An 18,128-nucleotide genomic window follows, 5' to 3' on the forward strand; every position below is an offset into this window, starting at 1 on the left:
AAGTTAAAAAAATTTTATCACACACAAAAGATAAAAATAACTTACACATGGGGCATAAGGATTAACTTTGTTAATACATGTAAGCATTAGAATACAATTGAAACATCTGATAAATTTAGTTACTTTTATTGTCATCATTATTTTATTGTTATTAGAATGATCACAACTTCCAGGTCAAAATAATTCACTGTCTTTTGAAGACCTGAGGGGTTTGTGCCCTTGGCTTTTGTCCAATGGTCTCATAAAGAAAGGACCATTTTTTTCAAAGTTATATCTATGATCATAGAAATGACTACACATATGACCTGAAATCAAAAACTTTTTATACTAGGTAAAAGCCTAATTATCCATATATTTAACTGAAAGAGAGCTACAAAGATAGAAATAAGTCTCAATCAGGAAAATATTCAGAGATTCTGAACAAAGTAATACAATGTCTGGGATTGCTTCAAACTAAGCCAGTGGGAGGGGAAGGGAAGTGCAGAGGAGTGCGGTGGGAATGGATGGAGTGATAATGGTCATGGGTTGATAATTACTGAATGGATGATGAGTATGTGAGGGCTTATTAAGCTTTCTGTCTACTTCTGTATATGCTTGAAACTTTCCATAATAAAACATTTAAAAAAGAAATAACTTCTAATTGATAGCTGACTTAGATTAAATTTTTCAATGAAAAACCATGAAACTGAAAAAATTAGATTAAAAATTATATTTATATATTTTATAATAAACACATATATAGATATATGTATATATGTGTATCTGTATATTTAAAGCTATTTGAACACATATGTACATGTGTATATGCACCTAATTGAAACTATATTTGAAATATATATTTGTGTGTATATGTGTACATATATATTTGAAACAGATTTCCACTGGTTTATATATTCAAAGTCTTTTATATAATACTGTAGCAAACCTATTAGTATAATATATTCAGCATAGAAAGTAAAGGGTACCATCTGGTATATTTTATATAATATATGTCTCTCTAGCTCTTTAAGGTTAGTTATGTACTTAAGAGAGATTGAGGGAAATGTTATTATATCCCAAACACTGATTTTCTCTAATTTCAACTAGATAAGAAATCTCCATGTTACATCAACTGAATAATTTCAAGGCAGTTAGTGAAACATATATAGAAAGGACTGACCCTGTTGGAGTCGGCTGGTCCTTTGTGAGAAAGAGTGTTCCTCGGTCAGTCCCTGGGAGCCAGTGGTTTCTTCACTCGCTACCTGCACATTCAGAGTCACCTGGGGGAGCTTGGTAGTCATACAGATTCCCAGCTTCTACCCAAGACTTGCTGAATCAGAACTTTCAGAAGTAGGGTATATAAATTTATAGTTTGAAATAGTTTCTCAGATGATTCCAGGAGTTAAAACTCTTCCTGCTTTTCGTTGATTTTATTTTTTCTTTTCCTCACTTCTAATTCTCTTAAGAGTGCCTAGGGTTTCTGTTTTTTGTTTGTTTGTTTATTTTTAATTTTTTTCCACAACTGTTCTCACGGAAAGATGGGGAGGCTCAGGCAATGGGAAAGAGACAGATAATTGGCAGTAGTCATCTGTGTCAATGGATTATTAAAGTCAATATTGCTTTCTGCAGAAAAAGCAAAGGCATAAAGGGATAAACATCCTGAGTTGTGGTTTGGTTATATGACATTTGACAAGTTTCTTAAATATTCTGAGTCTTAGTTTCTTTCATTCTTTAGTTGAGGACAATAAGGATCTCATCATCTAAATCACATAATTTTGGTGAGGACACAATGACGGAACACACACACACCATGAGTGATTATGAGGGAAAGGTAAAAGATGAGGGTTTGGCTGTACAGTGTGAGAGGTCCCTAAACTTCACCCACCTCCAATGTGACCATTTGCTTGGCCATGGCTCTCTCCACTGCTTCATACATCTGCGTGTTCTGGATCCCCAAGCCACAAAAGATGACAAAAGCTTCCAGAAACTGTTCGTCATTTCGGTTGAAAGGCTTAACCTTGCCAGTATTCTCCTCCATCTTATTAACAAGTTGGCAAACCCCTATAACAATCCGAGAAATTGAGCAAATGTTATTGTTGATTATCATAGTTTTTGTGGACTTTAACAAACACACCCAAAGATTGTCTTACACTTTTCTCTTAGGAATGCTTAGTATGTCGAAATAAGCAAATTAACCCCCACAAATATAAGCTAGAGAAGTAAACAGAATTTATATGAGAACTAGTTTCATGTAGTTCAAAATGTACATTGCTGGCGTTCAAAAAATCCTAGAGTACTATTTTCTTCCAGACTCGGTCACGAATTTTAGATCAGTTGAGTCCCCAAAGACAATTTGTCCTTTGGAAGCTAATTGGATTTTTGTACACTTGCCAAGAGAACGATTTTGATGCACATCAGAATTTTGGGTCAAACAGATCTCCTTTCCTTACTGAGAAACCAGAAGTTAAACATACACACACACACACACACACACACACACACACACACACGGTTACATACAAAATAGAATGCAGAAAGGAGGCAACTGACATAAGCAGTCTCAAATTTCAAATCTACACCTCTGTATCCAACAGAATCAAATTTGCAGAAAACTTTTGATTCTGCAAATAATTATGCAAATAAAAATGACTACTTAGAAATAAAAGTTAAACACGTAGTCAATAAAAATGGAAGATTACATCAACATTAGGATAAATCTTAACTGGTTGTTCTATGAGTTTCTGAGCCTAGTGGTCTCTGTGAGGAGTGACCTCACAGAGGTCACTTTGATGACCCAGCCTACCTCTGTGTAAACAAAGTGTTGTTAAAGTCCTTATCACTTCTGTCTCTGAGTATATAATAACAAACTTCTACCATGTGCCCACTGTGGGATAGGCATTGTGCTAAATACTTTGGTAGACACATGATCTCCAGTCTTCTCAATTTATTCTGTGAGGTAGATGTGACTATTCTCATTTTACAGATGAGGAAACTGAATCTCAGAAAGTTACATCATTTGCTCAAAGCCACTTAGCTGGTATGTGTAGGTCTAAAATTCAATCCCCAGCTCAGCCTGCCACAAGGGCCACTCTCAACTGCCATATTACCTGTCAGATCATTGCTATCAGTGCCCTGGTTGCATCTTGCTTGCCCACACCTTTGCTTATGCTTTTCCACAGGTCTGCACTGCTCCCCATTGCCTTCCCTCCCGCCTCACCAGTTGATCCCTATACCTCCTTCCCAATGACCTCCAGGAGGCCTCTAACTTACAGGTGAGGCAGGCATTTTTCTATTCCCTTAACATGACCAGTTGGTGTATCATGGTAAATTTTATTTCTCTCTCTCTTTCTAGACTGTCAGTATCTTGGGCTTAGAGTTTTATTTATTTTTTTCAGCTCCACTTCAGCTGGCAAAACGCCTAGCATATAGTAGGAACTAAAAAAATGTTTTCCGAATTAATGAAAGAATGTAGAATTGCAGCTCTGACTGTAACTAGTTTCCCATGAAGACTATAATAGTCTATTATCCTTTATTTTTCCTGGAGCACAAAAGGATTTCATAGAGTCTGGAAGACGGTTGCACATTAAGCCCCTTTACCACCATCAATGTTCACTTTCTTTACTTTTCATACTATAAATGATCTGGACTCTCCTTTTTGCTCTTTTTGTTTGTTTATCTACTTTAAACAGTAAAGACATCTACATGCTTATCTATTTGCAATAGTGCTGCAGAAGTTACTTTATCAATTATTCCATAGTCAAGGGAAACTTTAGACAAGATATAATGAATTTGGACACTGCAAGTAAAAGCCATATACTAAATGGCAATCAGCGTTCATTATCTTAAATGTATATATCCTGTGTGTGGCAAAAAACAAGAACAAAAAGCAAAAAACAAACCAAGGGTTATGTCCTTCAACCTTTGTGAATCCCCAAAATATAAATATGGAACTGTTTATACAGGCTTCTGTCTCCTAAATCTTATTTTCTTGAGAGTCACATTTCATGCCCTTATCCTCACATCACAATGGAATTGCCTTTCAGTTTTACTAAAGTTTTCTCCTACTTGATAGCCTTTTTCATAAACAAGATTTTAAAAATTACTTCACAAGAATTACTACACGTATAGCAAGAAAAGTACAACACAGAGGGGTTGAGATGTGAATACCAGGCAATCTGCGAGGCTTATGACCTAGCTAAGTATCTCTCCAGTACAGCAGTTCAAATCTATGCCTTGGTCAAAATTCACTGAATGAATATATTAAGAGTCATTAAATTATACCTTTGGAATTGCCCGCAAGTCCTTTAAATGGAATGTTATGTGTAGAAATATCAAGGTTCTGCTATAACAAATACAGCTCAGAGCAGAACAACTAAAGTATATCCATGTTATGATCTACCATTATAGATATAGATCTATAGGCACAGAGTTAAGCTCTGGGGAAAACAACAACAACAACAGCAACAAAAATGGGTACTGAAGACAAATCATCCATCTAGGCATATAAATTAATTATCTTTTTGAAAGTGAAATGAGCAGCCATATTTAAATAGCATTCATGATAATCCCATTGATCTCTTTACACTCTTCGGAAAGTTTAATTCTATCAAGCAAAAATACCCATGTAAAAACAAAAAGTTATAAAGAAAAAGAGGGCTTATAACAAACAGGGTTCCCTGTTTAAGAAAACTAAAAACCTGGGCACATTTACAGATAGAGTGTTCACAACTTCTTCCTTAATGATCTGAAAGATTAAGGAGTACAATAATGAAATTTAAAACTGAAATTTGAGATGCCACGTTACTCATAAACCATACAAACTCAGAATAATTTATATTTAAAAATGAAATGTTTAATGCAAAACCAAAAATAAAAGAGAACCATTCAGCAAAAACCCATTAATAAGTGCAATCACAAAATAAAACAACATTCAAAAATGTATTGGGGGAACCAAGAAGTAGTGAAGTTAGCAAACTATCAGTGTTACCTAATATTATTATAGAGTTCATAAAGTACTCAGAATGTGGTCATCACAGTAGGTCTGAGAGTTGGTTAGCATTGAAGGCACCTCTGGAAATTATGCTGAAGGGACTAGATGGCTTCTAAAATTAAACAGTTATATTTTCTTTTCCATAATTCTTGGGATCGGATGTTGTTACCAACCACAGTCTTCCTCCTGGCTCTTTGGCAGAACAGGGGGTCAATGCTTATACCCTGCTTGCAGTCTTATGTCCTCTCTACCACATAACATGGACTCCAAAATTAGCATCCTGCCTTATTAAAATGTAAAACGAACCTTTATCACCTATCTTGCAAATACTTTTGTTTCTGCACTTTTCATTTGTCAATCATCTTAATTTGGAGAGGCTTTTGCTGTATAAAAGATTTAATTTTTTAAGGAGCCAGAATAATTATCCTTACAATATTCAACTATAGTGCCTTGCTTTTAAAAGAGGCTTCCTCATTTTAATATTATATATAAACCTATATTTTCCCTAGTACTTTTATAGATGTATTACATTTAATCTTATAATCCCACTTAATTTTTCCCCTAACTGCTATTGGAGTCTTATAACATCTGAAGAGTTACCCATTCTTTGATGATCTGAATTGTCACCATATACTAAATTCATATTTGTTTCAACTATTACATACTTTTTCCACATTTTAATATTTTTGAAATCAGTATGCATGTTATGATCAATAGCTTGACATAGTAAATTGAAATCATATTTTATTTTCTTGGAGATACATAAAATGGTGTCTTTCATTCAAAAGTATCTTACTTAAAAATAATGAAATATACCCTACTCTGTTACATACAGTAACACAATTATATATGCCAGACTATGGGTCTACATTTAGACTTTCTGTTCTGTTTCATCAATCTTGGCATGTCTTTTAGCACCTATACCATATTTTTAATTATTTTACTTTTATATCATTTTAATTTCTGAATTAAATCTAAATTTAATTTCTGAAAGGGCAATAACCATCAGCTATGATTCTTTTTACACCTCCAGTTGTAAGTATTACCAATGTTTGTAAATGTTGATCAGGAACAACCTCCCCACCCCCACCCATGTCTCACAAGGATAATAAAATTGATGCAAATCTAATCTGGGAGACTTGATATCTCGTAAACTAGATTTTAATCATTTCAGAAATGTATTCACTTCTTAATGATTTTTAAGTCACTCAGAATTTTGTAGCTTTCCTCATATAGATGACATATATTTCTGGCCAAGTTTATTCTTTGTTACTGTAGTAAATGGTTTTATTTTTTTCCATTGTTTTCTAACAAATTTGTCTTGGCATATATTAAAATTATTTCTCTTTAATAATTTGATAATTAGGCTTCTTATAAAACTCTTACTAGACAGGTACTTTCAGCTAATTCTTTTTGGGTTTTCCATTTAACACTAATATAATTTGTAAGTTATTTTATTTTGCCTCCTTTTTTTCTGTGTCTCATCTTATTTCAACCTTGCCTCCCTTCTAATTGCTTTGGTTAGAATTTCTTTGGGCAATAGTTTTTTTTTTTTTTTTTTTAAATAACAAATTCTTTCTCAGTTACTCCCATGAACAATTCTAAAATCCTCTTGAGTTAGTATTGGTTATTACCAATTTTTATAGAAATTCCCCATTTCACCAAATGTTAATTCCTATTTGCTACACTGTAATATCAAGTATCTTTTAAAATGTCTTTGATATCTGTACTTACATTCCCTCTCTCATTACTATTTGTGTTTCTCTCTTAATATCCTCATTATCCGTTGGAGGTTCATCTATTATTATTGTGTTTGCCCATTATCTCTTATTTCTTCTCATTTCATAAGTTTATTTTTTCAATTTTTTCTTCTACTTTCTTTCTTCTCATGTATATACTTATTTGGGGAAGGCAACAGAGTGAGAAAGAGAAAGGTGCTGTTTTTCTAATTTCTACGGTTGAATGCTTAGTTAAAATTTTTTCATTATTTCTTAATAATAATAAAATATTTAAAGCTACATAATTTCCTCTGAGTATAGCTTTGACCATGTACCTTCAGTTTTTATGTTATGTTAATAGAACAATTACTTTTCTAAAATGCTGTAATTTAATTATGACTTTTGATTTCTTCTTTGTCATTTAGGAGAATGCGTTTCAGGTTCTAAGTGAGTTTTTTCCTTCCAATTTATCTTTTAATTATATATTAACAGTTTTAATGCACTGTGATCTATGAAAGTGGCCAACAATTCTGCTTTTCAGAAACGACTGACTTTATGTTGCATATCACCAATATTTGATTTCTGACATATATTTTAGAATAATTTATATTTTTAAATTCTGAAACATGAAAGTAAAGCTATATATGTCAATTAAATCCACTTAATTTTTATCAATTCTAATGTTTATTTTTTCCTATAATTTAACACTGACAAGTATATTTCAGGCCCACTGTGATGATCACTTTGTCCATTTCTCCGTGTATTTTTTTTTTTTTTTTTTTTTTGAGACGGAGTCCCGCTCTTTAGCCCAGGCCGGATTGCAGTGGCACAATCTTGGCTCACTGCAAGCTCCGCCTCCCAGGTTCACGCCATTCTCCTGCCTCAGCCTCCCGAGTAGCTGGGACTACAGGCACCCGCCACCGCGCCCGGCTAATTTTTTGTATTTTTAGTAGAGACGGGGTTTCACCGTGTTAGCCAAGATGGTCTCGATCTCCTGACCTTGTGATCCGCCCGCCTCGGCCTCCCAAAGTGCTGGGATTACAGGCGTGAGCCACCGCGCCCAGCCTTCTCCGTGTATTTTTAACAGCTTTAGTTTTTGTATGTCAATGATGCTATTTAGTTTATTAGCATTCACAGCAATTACATTTTCCTCTATGAGTTTTAATTTTACTCAATGAAAGGTGATTCTTTACATTATGTTTTACCATAAATTCTACTTTGTTTGATAGAAATATTGTTATCCCTATTCAATTTTTGCCCATGTTGTATAAAATGTGTCTTTACAAATGACGTATACTTCACAGGTTCCAGGAATTCCTTAGTGTTTCTGATCCACTAAAGACTACTTCTCTGTTTTCTAGTGCTACTAAAAAGTTTTCCTTATTTTTGTCTTTCTTCAGTCAATTATTAAATCTGTAATCTTTACATTGTTTTTATTATATAGATCTTCACTTCCATAATTCTAAACTATAATATCTTAATTCTATTTTTTTCTAGTTTTCTTCCACCTATTACTGCCCTTACACCCTACAGTCTTATTTCCTTGTGCTCATTATAACTAAGCATAATTTACAATTCTCTAACTGGGAAAAAACCTGGATACTTTAAGTAATACAAGCAATGTATACCATGGAAGACAATGTACAATTATAAACAAATGAATAGTGATATTGCCAAGTGATAAAATTTAATATGAAAAGTACAATGAAGTAGTAGTCAAACTTAAGCGATATAACATTAGAATACTTATTTATGCCTTGGAATTCTACTGCAACACACAGATGAGCAGCTTATCTCTCCATGTATTCACCTATTTAAAGGTCCACCCGAGTAATTTATTAAATAAAGCCAAAATAAATTAACAGAGTAAGATAAGATGACGTGGTAGTGACAATCAATGATTCAAAAATTCATTAAGGCCTACTCAAAAAAACTCTGCAGGCATGCAGGTCTCCCAAATTTTATTGATAGAAAGGAACTAAAATAAGGTGCCATTTGGAGCATTGGAATGATGTAGGTGTTTAGCCAGTTCAAACAGGCTAACAGAACAAGTTTGAAAGTGTAAGAGACTTAGAAAATTCATTGTGGAAGTAAAAAACAGAACATTCTTACAGTGTACATGAGAAGGGATTAAGATAGTAACCAGTTGACAAATACATATTTCTTTCTCATATTTCTCTGTCAAACAATGTGTGGTACAGCACTGTAATTTTTATTTTTATGCTTTTATTTATTAACAAGGAGATGAAAAAGTAAGCTATTTAAAGTGGAGATGTTCTAAGTATCTTTTTTTAAAATAAATTTTCAATGGGAATAGGACTAGTTTCTGCAAAATTTATCCTGAAATTGATATGGAAAAAATAGGCATAAAAATGTCTGGTAAATATAATATTGGAAAAAGGCATTTAGCATAATAAGCAGGGAAAATAATTAGTTAAAATAAATGAACGTTCAATGAGAAATATATTTCCTTAAAAGTACTGGAAGCAAAGTAGTGGAAACACTGTGTATTAGCCAGAGCACTAAGAAAACATTTGATACGAAACAATACCTCAGGGAATAAATGTGATGGGACAGCAGGCCCCATACTGGTCTAATGTCTATAATTCCATCTAAATGTCAGTAATGGAAAAAATGAGAAGAAGGAAGAAGATTACAAACAACACATGTGTCCGTCTGTCTTTCTGCATGTAACTCTATAGGGATTCTCTATTAGAATTACATAATAGTGGAATCTGGTCTATGACATGTAAGACAAATTATCCACAACCATGACATTTTCCATGCTACAACTGTAGGTACATAAGTATAGTCCAGAAATCAAATTCTTAGTTTTGTCACCCTTGTAAAGCAGCAGGAACACTGGAAATTTTCCCCCTTATATTTGGGATCTACTTGAGAACCTCCCTTCACCCCACACAAAACCCGACTAAAGAAATCATTTCTTTTCCTTTCTTTTTATTTACAAAGAATTTTTCTCTCCAAAATCTACATTTGCCTACTTTTGGCTCTGTCATCAAGTAGGGTGATACAAAATGTATGCCAAGAAAAGTCTGATTGTTTCATTTTTTATTTTTTTCTTACTTGTCTGACACAGTGACAGGATCACAGAATGTGAATTTTGAACAGATCTGAAAAGTTATTAAGTTCAACTCCACAGAGGTGAGTAATGTGCCCATAAGTGTGGCTGAAGATGAGTGGCGCTAACACAATGCTGTGAGTCCGACCCCCAGTCCAGCACTCTTTCCATGTCGTCTAACTCGCTCTCATTTACCTTCACATAAAGTGACAAAGGGGCCTGATGCGTAACTTCCTCCAGCCACTCCCCGTTCCCAGTTATTATTCCAAAGAAATGTTGCTGGGGAAAAGTGAAGATGTGACTTGATGGGGCAAGCTGCCACTCTGCCTTCCTTCCTATGATAACTTACTAGTAAATAATGCATTCCTTCTGGAATTTAATTTCACATTTTCAAAGGCCAAAGACAGCTTGTAGTAAATCTTTATACTTATAAAAAAGCATTTTAAACAGCATAACATTTATAATATAGTTTTCCCCTTGACCTCCCTAAGAAATAAAATTTTATAACATTTACTTGGTATCATATTGTAAGGCACCCTTGGCAGTTTTCTTTTATTGCTTATGTTAGAGATCTGATCAGTGACAATCTTTAAAAAAGATCTCACAGATTCATTAGCCTCCACTTTTTTCTCTGAGAACTGTAGAAGAGTTGACTCAACAGCCCAGCAGGGGGTTGGCACGCTGGTTTCTAAGCGGCTTTAATGCACAATTCACCAGGGTCAGGAGCTGACCCTCAACCTTTTAGCTTAGGCACTAGATTAGCATACTGAAGACTGCTGGGGTGGAGTCACAGTAACTAAGTTGACAAGACTGATTTATAAAACCAAAATAGTATCAATGTTCAAAAAGAAACAGATCTGTCCCAGAAACAGAAGTATAAGCACCTGCAGCTCCAGCCCATTGCCTCAAGTCCAGTTCATACAATAAGAAACAACTGTCAGGGCAACCAGTATATTTGAGAGGACATGAATAATGCATTCTCTTCCCATGAGCTAACCTACACTGGAAAAGAAAGTAATCAGTACAAGTTGGATTGGTGGGACTGGAATCAGAACAAGGGAAATCAGAGTCAGAGAATGTTGAATTGTGCTAAGCTGATGTATTCCTTTCACAATAAGGATGCATTCTAGGCAGAGGGACTGGGAATTGGAAAGATATTACTGGCTATAATCTGATGCATCCATTGCACCTAGTGAAGGCTCACCATATGGTCAGAATACTCGATGCACACTGATACAACTCTCTACATCCATCTCTGTGTTAGGGACAAATGTTACTTTACTCTTGCACAGAACTTGGACAGTCACTTTTAATATCTGTCTTTTCTTTTTCTATTTTCATTACTGATATACCCTCTGCCCCTTCTTTCTGACTAAAACTCTCATTCAATAAAATTATAGTCAAATCTTGCAATTGGAAAAGTATTCAGACTTTTAAAGTTATATTTATATATCTAAATGTTGCTCCATTAGGGTTTTAATTCTAAATTTAACCTTTAAAAAGTTATCATATTTTCTTTATTTCCAGGTTCCTAGGAGAATGTTAACAGTCCAGACCTTTTTCACTACATCAACCACGGATGATTGGCATATAAAATCCTACTTAACCTTTACATAACTGCAATACCAGGAAACAAATATGTCAATAAAAGGAAACATCATTCAATTTTTCTGAGAATGCATTCTTCCATCATTCCTGAAGTAGAGGTTTTTCTATAATCATGTTAAGAACATAAGCTCCTGAGGGCAGGAATTTCTGCTTTGTTCATTGATTTATCCCAACTGCCAAGAACAGTGGAGTGCTCAATAAATATTAAATGAATAAATAAATATAACCTATAACCTAAACTACATTCTTAAAAAAAGTCAACATCCAGGAAATAAGACTCTAAAACAATACACATTATCTACTTAATATCTCTTATACAGTCTACCAAATTTCAATACATCATCAATCATTCTTAAACAAAAAATTCTGCTGAAATAGGATAATAATTATAAAAGTGCACCATAGTTTATAAGATATTTAACAAATGTCTGTTGGTATTTATCAATTATTTTAATTATTCTATCATTCCAAATTTTATCTTTTTTAAAACATTTTATTCTTTACATTTGAAAGAAAGAAGTATAGCTGGGAATACATTTTTAAAAATAAGTTTAGAGTATAGGTTAAAGGAAAGGTTTTACCTATAACTTTATTCTTCTTTCCATTTTTTATAGGTGTACAAAGCAAACTTCTAATGCACTGCTGGTTTACATTTCCTGTATTTTCAGTCTAAACAAAAATAAAAAGAACAAAACAGCTAAAATGGTAAAGAGATTGATTTGTCCATTAGATGCCATATAAACTATATGACACATTTGAAAGCACTATATATTCAACTTTTATATTAGAGAGCATTGGAAAGCAGAAAATGTATAAATTATAATGAAGTTCACATAAATGCAATATAAAGCAATGTCTACTTTGTTAAAAATATCGGAATTTTTTTCACTTTAAACTTTCCAAGCAGCTTAATAATAAGTAAAATATAAAAATAAGTTAAAAAAAATAAGTAAAAGTACAGTATCTACTATACTAGTGTAGTAAATGCCCCAAATAATTTAACGAGAGGGGCAGAATCTAAACGCCACCTAAAATGCACCGTGTTACAAACCTGTCCTTTAATAATACCACTGTTGCTATTGCTATATTGCTAAAGTTCTAACAATGTCTCCAAATAACACCCAAATAACAAAATCATCCAAATAACAAAATCAAGGCAGCTGCCTCAAAGTGCAATGCTTTCCTGAAGAGGTGAGAGAAAATACTATAATTCAAATTTTTCAGTGTCTGAGAACTAGATATTTGTAGCTTTGAGGTCAAGAAAAACAGACATCCATTTTCCCAGAGCTACTCACTATGACAGATTACCAATTGCATCAGTTCAAGCCACACAGAAACTAATTTTTGCAAATAAGGCAAAAACTCTAGCAATATTATCTAAGGAATGTCATTGACATTATGTAGGTAATAGCTAAATTACTTCAAAAATAGTACGGTAACTTATTAATAGACATTTAAAAAGGTGAAAAAAGTACAAAGAAAAATGTCCAGCTACAGCTCTCAATAGATGTTATGATCTATTTTATTCTCCTTCCTCAGATGAGGGAAAGCACAGATCATTCCTAAACAGTCAATTCTAGAGCCAGTCCTTCAGTTCAAGAATAACTGTAAGTACAGATGTGATGGGAAAACAGCCTTCTAGCTTCAAGTCTAAAATTGGGTTACTTACTGTCCAGGGAAATCTTTTATCCTTACTGACATCTGGGATATTAAGTGGTTCCATAGTATTTTTGACATACTGAGCATACATGTAATTGATTTTGTTTGCATCATGTTCCCTGTGAAAATAACAGATATGAGTTCCCTCTGTGCAGTTAAAAAAAAGCATGGGCAAACAGTTAAATAAATGATTAAGGGAGAAAAATACCAGCCTTAAATTATAAGGCATATATACTTATTTGGAAAATGTAGCTTTAAATGTGTTTGATGATTTACAACTTTGTCAGTTACCATAATTTAAATGTTTTGAAAAAACAAAATCCCACAAATTTCCAACAAGTTTTATAAGTGTGAATGGCCTTATTCTCATCGCAAATGGGCATGGTGATTTTTGGTGTCATTTAATGTAAACTCATATGTCCCCTCATATCTTATTTTCCCATCAGATTATAGAATGCCTAAGGTCTAGTGCTTGTTTCACTTCCTCATTATTTGGTTTCTCTATCCATTCCAATAAAACAGTATCTTACACATTTTAAGACCAAGGGAAAAATCAAACAGCTTAGAAAAAATTTTTAAAGCTCTTCTCTCTAGTTAAGTCTATTTTCTTTCTCCTTCTGTCTTTTTGTCGTGTCTTCCTTAGCATCTTTCCCTTTGTTCAGTTTCCTCTCTACACCTTTTTTCTGCTTTGAGATGCTTTAAGATACTTTTAAAATTAAAAATTTATCTTCCTCAAGAAATTTTTATGAACTTACAATATTTTTACCAGTTATGTTCCAGTCTCTTGCTTAACAGAGTGAACATGAAAGATTAATCTGATGCCAGGGGGTACAGTGTCAGTGCAAGGGATGGAAAACAGAATGGAACATGTTTTTTCATCAGGAAACTCCGTATGTTCCCTTGTGGTGATGATAAATTCAGCAAAGAGGGTCAGGTTATGGGAATTTATTCTATCTATAAGAACATGCTTATTTTAATTGTAATATCACTAAAGAAGTAGGAAAACCTAACAATAGTAGACATTTCAAAATAAAATACAGTTGGCCCTCTGTACCCACAAGTCCACGTCTTTGGATACACCCAACTGCAGTACTGAAAATAAACCAAAGAAAAAAAACAAAAATAAAAAATAACATAAATTTAAACAATAGTACAACATAACAATTATTTAAATAGCATTTACATTGTATTAGGTATTATAAGTAATATAGAGTGGATGTGCATAGGTTATAGGCAAATACTACATCATTTTATACAAGGGACTTTAGTGTCTGCAGATTTTGGTATCTGTAGGGGTTCCTGGAACTAATTTCCCAAGGATACTGAGTGACAACAGCATACATCTCAGGAAAAATGTCCACTTGTTCTAAGTTTCCAAAGTTCCAATGTTTTGCTATCTTCTGTCCTTCCCACCCAACCTGACCCAGCTGCTTCTTGGGACAGTGGTTTCATATGGCGTCCTTCAGCGCTAGTGATTCCACAAAGATTCCTGAACCCTGTGGCCTGGTTCCTGGTCAAAATATTTCAGTCTTCCCTTTGTTGTACATTTTACTTTAAGTGTAATTTGGTCAAACCAAGTACTGACCACTTGTCTAGTATTATGTATACATGAAAAAGAATGAAAAGGAAATGACAGAAGAGTGACATAATAGTAAATGAACTTTAAATTGAATATTTCTTGAGACTAGGCTGAGAGTCTGTGAAGGCATGCCAGTTACCATACACATCAGACCTAATACACTCCTGAGGTCCTACTTCATACATATTATTTGAGTGACACTCAAGAAAAGGTTATATAAATGCAGGGTTTAGTTTAATAAAACAATGTTTAAAACTACAAATATTTTATAAATAGCAACAGCCTAGAGAGAAGAAAATAAGAAGCTATAGTGAACAAAAGAAGAAAAATGAAAAGGTGACCACCAGGAGAATGAAGTATATTGGAGAAGTAAGTATCCTTGTAAAATCTCTTTTAAAATGATAATTATCATATCAATAACTATTATTATTCTTCATCATCATTATTTTAATTATCATCATCATTATTTTAAGAGTAGGAGCCAGGAAAAAATCCAAAATGGTTAAGCAATTTGTCAGAGTTCATAAATTCAGACTTACACTAGTTAATATAGAGAAAGAGAAGTAGAAAAACTACTTCTAAATCAACAAATACCTGATACCTTATTTAACTCCTTGAAATTTTTAGGTTTTCCTGATGGTTACTTTAAGTGAAAAATGAGCATTAGATTTATTAAAGTTACATGATACTATGTTTGTTTCTTACTCTATAAGAAATGTTGATAAATTTTTAGTTCCTGAACTCAATAAATAAAGATTGAATACCTTCTCCATCAGAGGCACCCTTAGCAGTATATGGGCGACAAACTTACATAGGTTAGTAACTGTCATAGGAGCTTACAATCTAGTAGAAGACTGAAACAGAATGAATAATGTGTTTAAATTACATGGACTATTTGGGTAGAGTCTAGTGCAGAGACTGCCAGTTGTCCTTCAATAATTCTCCTCCCCTTCTGTTTGTCTGGACATATATGGCCACCCAGAATAAAGACCACATTTCTCAGCCACCCTAGTGGCTTAGTATTGCCATCTGGCTAAGTTCTAGACAACAGGATGTAAGAGTAAATGTCTGTGATGGCTTCTAGTAACCTTCCTAAGAGACAGGTGATACATGCTGTCTGTCCCTTCTTTCCCAGTCCCCCATCCTACTGTTTAAAATGTGGATATAATGACTGGAGCTGCATCCTTGACCCTGAAGGAAAGGGCCATATCCTAGGGATGTAAGGTAGAAAGTCCAAAGGTGTCTTGGTCCCCAAGGTCTTTGTGGAGCACAGCTACAGCACCGAGCCTGAGCTGGCTACCTCTGGGCTTTTACAGGAGAGAGTAATAATACTGTGTTCTTGTTTAAGCTATTTTTATTTTGGGTTTTCATGATCCACAGTTAAGCCTAATCCTAAGTGATACGGTGTAACAATGCAAGCACCACACGTGTGGAGAAGATGGACAGGTAGCACCTAAATGGAGTGGAATAGGGAAGAGGTAGCATTAGAGAAATGAATTCACAGTTGGTTCAGAATTTTTAAAGGAGAGACATCAGGAATGAAAGGTAGAGTATTCCAGGCAGGAAAAAACAAAACAAAACGAAACAGTATAAAACACATTGCTGACATGGAAGAGTTCTATGTGTAACTGGGAAACACTAAATAGTTACAGATTGTCAAGAATAAAATGATGATTTCAGGCTGAAAATGTTAGGCTAGGACAGATAGTGAAAGATTTTGAAAGTGTAATACAAGGAATATGGATCTCATTCTTTTACTGATGGGAATATTATAGTGTCCTTTAGAATGTGCCTCAGAGCTCCAATTGTAGAAAGAGTAGCTGACCAATGTCTCAAGTTGCTGTGCTCTGGAAGCCATCAACAAGTTTGCACTGAGGTCACCTCTACCAGGGTTGATCCCAGAGAAAAAGACTGAGCACACTAGGGACACTAAAGTAGGCCTAATCCTGGGAGGCCCAGTATTCTTCTCACAGTAAATTTCAGCTAGAGGACTTCCCAGCAGCCTTGCCAAACCTTCCTTAGAACTGTTCAGCTGTCTAGGATACTTCTGTACAACTTTCCTTCCTTCTTCCTCTCCTTAACTCTGGGTCAGACTTTCGTGTTGGTCTGATGGCTTTCCTGGCTCCTTCCCTCTGGTTCTCACAGGGTGTTTTCTCTAATAAATTTCTGCACATTTAATCTAATCTTGGCATCTGTTTCTTGGAAGACCTGGACTAACTCACACATCTAAGGCTTTTTGTACAATGTGTATCAATGAACTGTATATGAGTGCATTGTTGGGATGAGAGAATTAGGTACGTGGAGCTTGAAAAGATAAATTTCTGTGCTTTAGAATTAAATGGGAGTCACTGCAGGTAATGTAAACCAAAGACAAATAAAAAAAAAATCAAAGAGACATGGAAATAATAGCTAACACTTACTGAATGCCAGAAATTTTCTGAAGCATTTTATATACATTATCTTATTTGATTCTTAGTACAATCCTACTACCACTACAGATGAAGAAACTGAGGCTTTGAGAGATTAAATAATTTACATGAAGTCTCACAGCTAGTAAGCCCAGTATGTGGTGCAACTTAAATACTTACATTTAAATACAATCAATCTGACTTCTACATTCTTCTACACTGTATCCACAATTTTTTAAAGTAGTAGTCTTTACTTATTTAATTACACTTATATTTTCTAATATGATAATCAATAACAAGTATAAACTAATATGTATATTCCAAGAAAGTGACCTAAAAGGATTAATTCTATGTATTTATCATTTTATGACACAAATGTGCATTTGTGAATGAACATAAAGTTAATTAGTATGGAATTATAGCACTAAAATATCTACTTCTTAAAGAGCTAACATAAACGGCACAACATTATACTCATTTTTTTCCTTCTAATTGGGTGGCTCTTGAATTGAAGCACAAAAACTCTAAAACTTCCCACCATGTGGAAATGAGCCTCCCTTTGGAAATTCCTGGGCAACTCAACTCCCAAGAGCTTACTATGCTTTATCCCTTTTATGATATGCTTCTAATAATTATGTGTAATGTTCACCCTGAATATGTTGTTTTACATTTAACATTTCAAAACCATCTTCAGTATATTAATTTATGAGGTCATTAGTGGATTGGTTGGAAAAATCTCGAATGAGCTATACTTTTTAATTGATAAATAACTTCCTGAAAAGAATGATTTGCTTACTGCTAACATCAAATTGCCTAGTACTTCATCAAATTGAGAGATGGCAAAGTTTGGATTGGCAAAGTTTTTAATAATGAGAATTGGAGTCCTAAATCCTACCAATAATCAGTTTTAGGAACAAAATAAAGAATTTGCTGGTGAAAAATAAGTATCAATATTAGTTTTGCCCTTTTTCAAAATGTTAACATTACTAAACACCATTTTAAATTCAGTTACTGCAAATTTAGGCCTGTTACCTAATTTTTATTAAAATAAAAAAAATCTCAGAGGCCTTTTACTGTATCACTATAATAAAAGCTAACTTTACCATCC

At 33.9% G+C, this 18,128-nt stretch overlaps 1 protein-coding gene across 4 annotated transcripts in view, besides 1 other annotated feature; it reads right to left on the reverse strand.

Annotated features, from left to right (window-relative positions):
- Nucleotides 1-18,128, reverse strand: part of PDE5A (phosphodiesterase 5A) — a 134,402-nt gene that overhangs the window by 46,192 nt on the left and 70,082 nt on the right. For all 4 annotated transcript variants that reach the window (NM_001083.4, NM_033437.4, NM_033430.3 and 1 more), the window contains exons 8-10: nt 13,044-13,152; nt 11,956-12,043; nt 1,865-2,040 (exon numbers count right to left, since the gene is read on the reverse strand). In NM_001083.4, the coding sequence (NP_001074.2) occupies nt 1,865-2,040; nt 11,956-12,043; nt 13,044-13,152 (373 nt within the window). The remainder of the gene's footprint in view (nt 1-1,864; nt 2,041-11,955; nt 12,044-13,043; nt 13,153-18,128) is intronic.
- Nucleotides 2,587-2,787: a silencer, noted in NCBI's record as "peak5097 fragment used in MPRA reporter construct". NCBI's record gives its function as "represses an SCP1 promoter by STARR-seq MPRAs in K562 erythroleukemia cells {active_cell/tissue: K562}" and the evidence as "EXISTENCE:reporter gene assay evidence [ECO:0000049][PMID:32103011]".

Source organism: Homo sapiens, chromosome 4 (assembly GCF_000001405.40).
Source record: "Homo sapiens chromosome 4, GRCh38.p14 Primary Assembly".
In the NCBI taxonomy this organism is placed as follows: domain Eukaryota; kingdom Metazoa; phylum Chordata; class Mammalia; order Primates; family Hominidae; genus Homo; species Homo sapiens.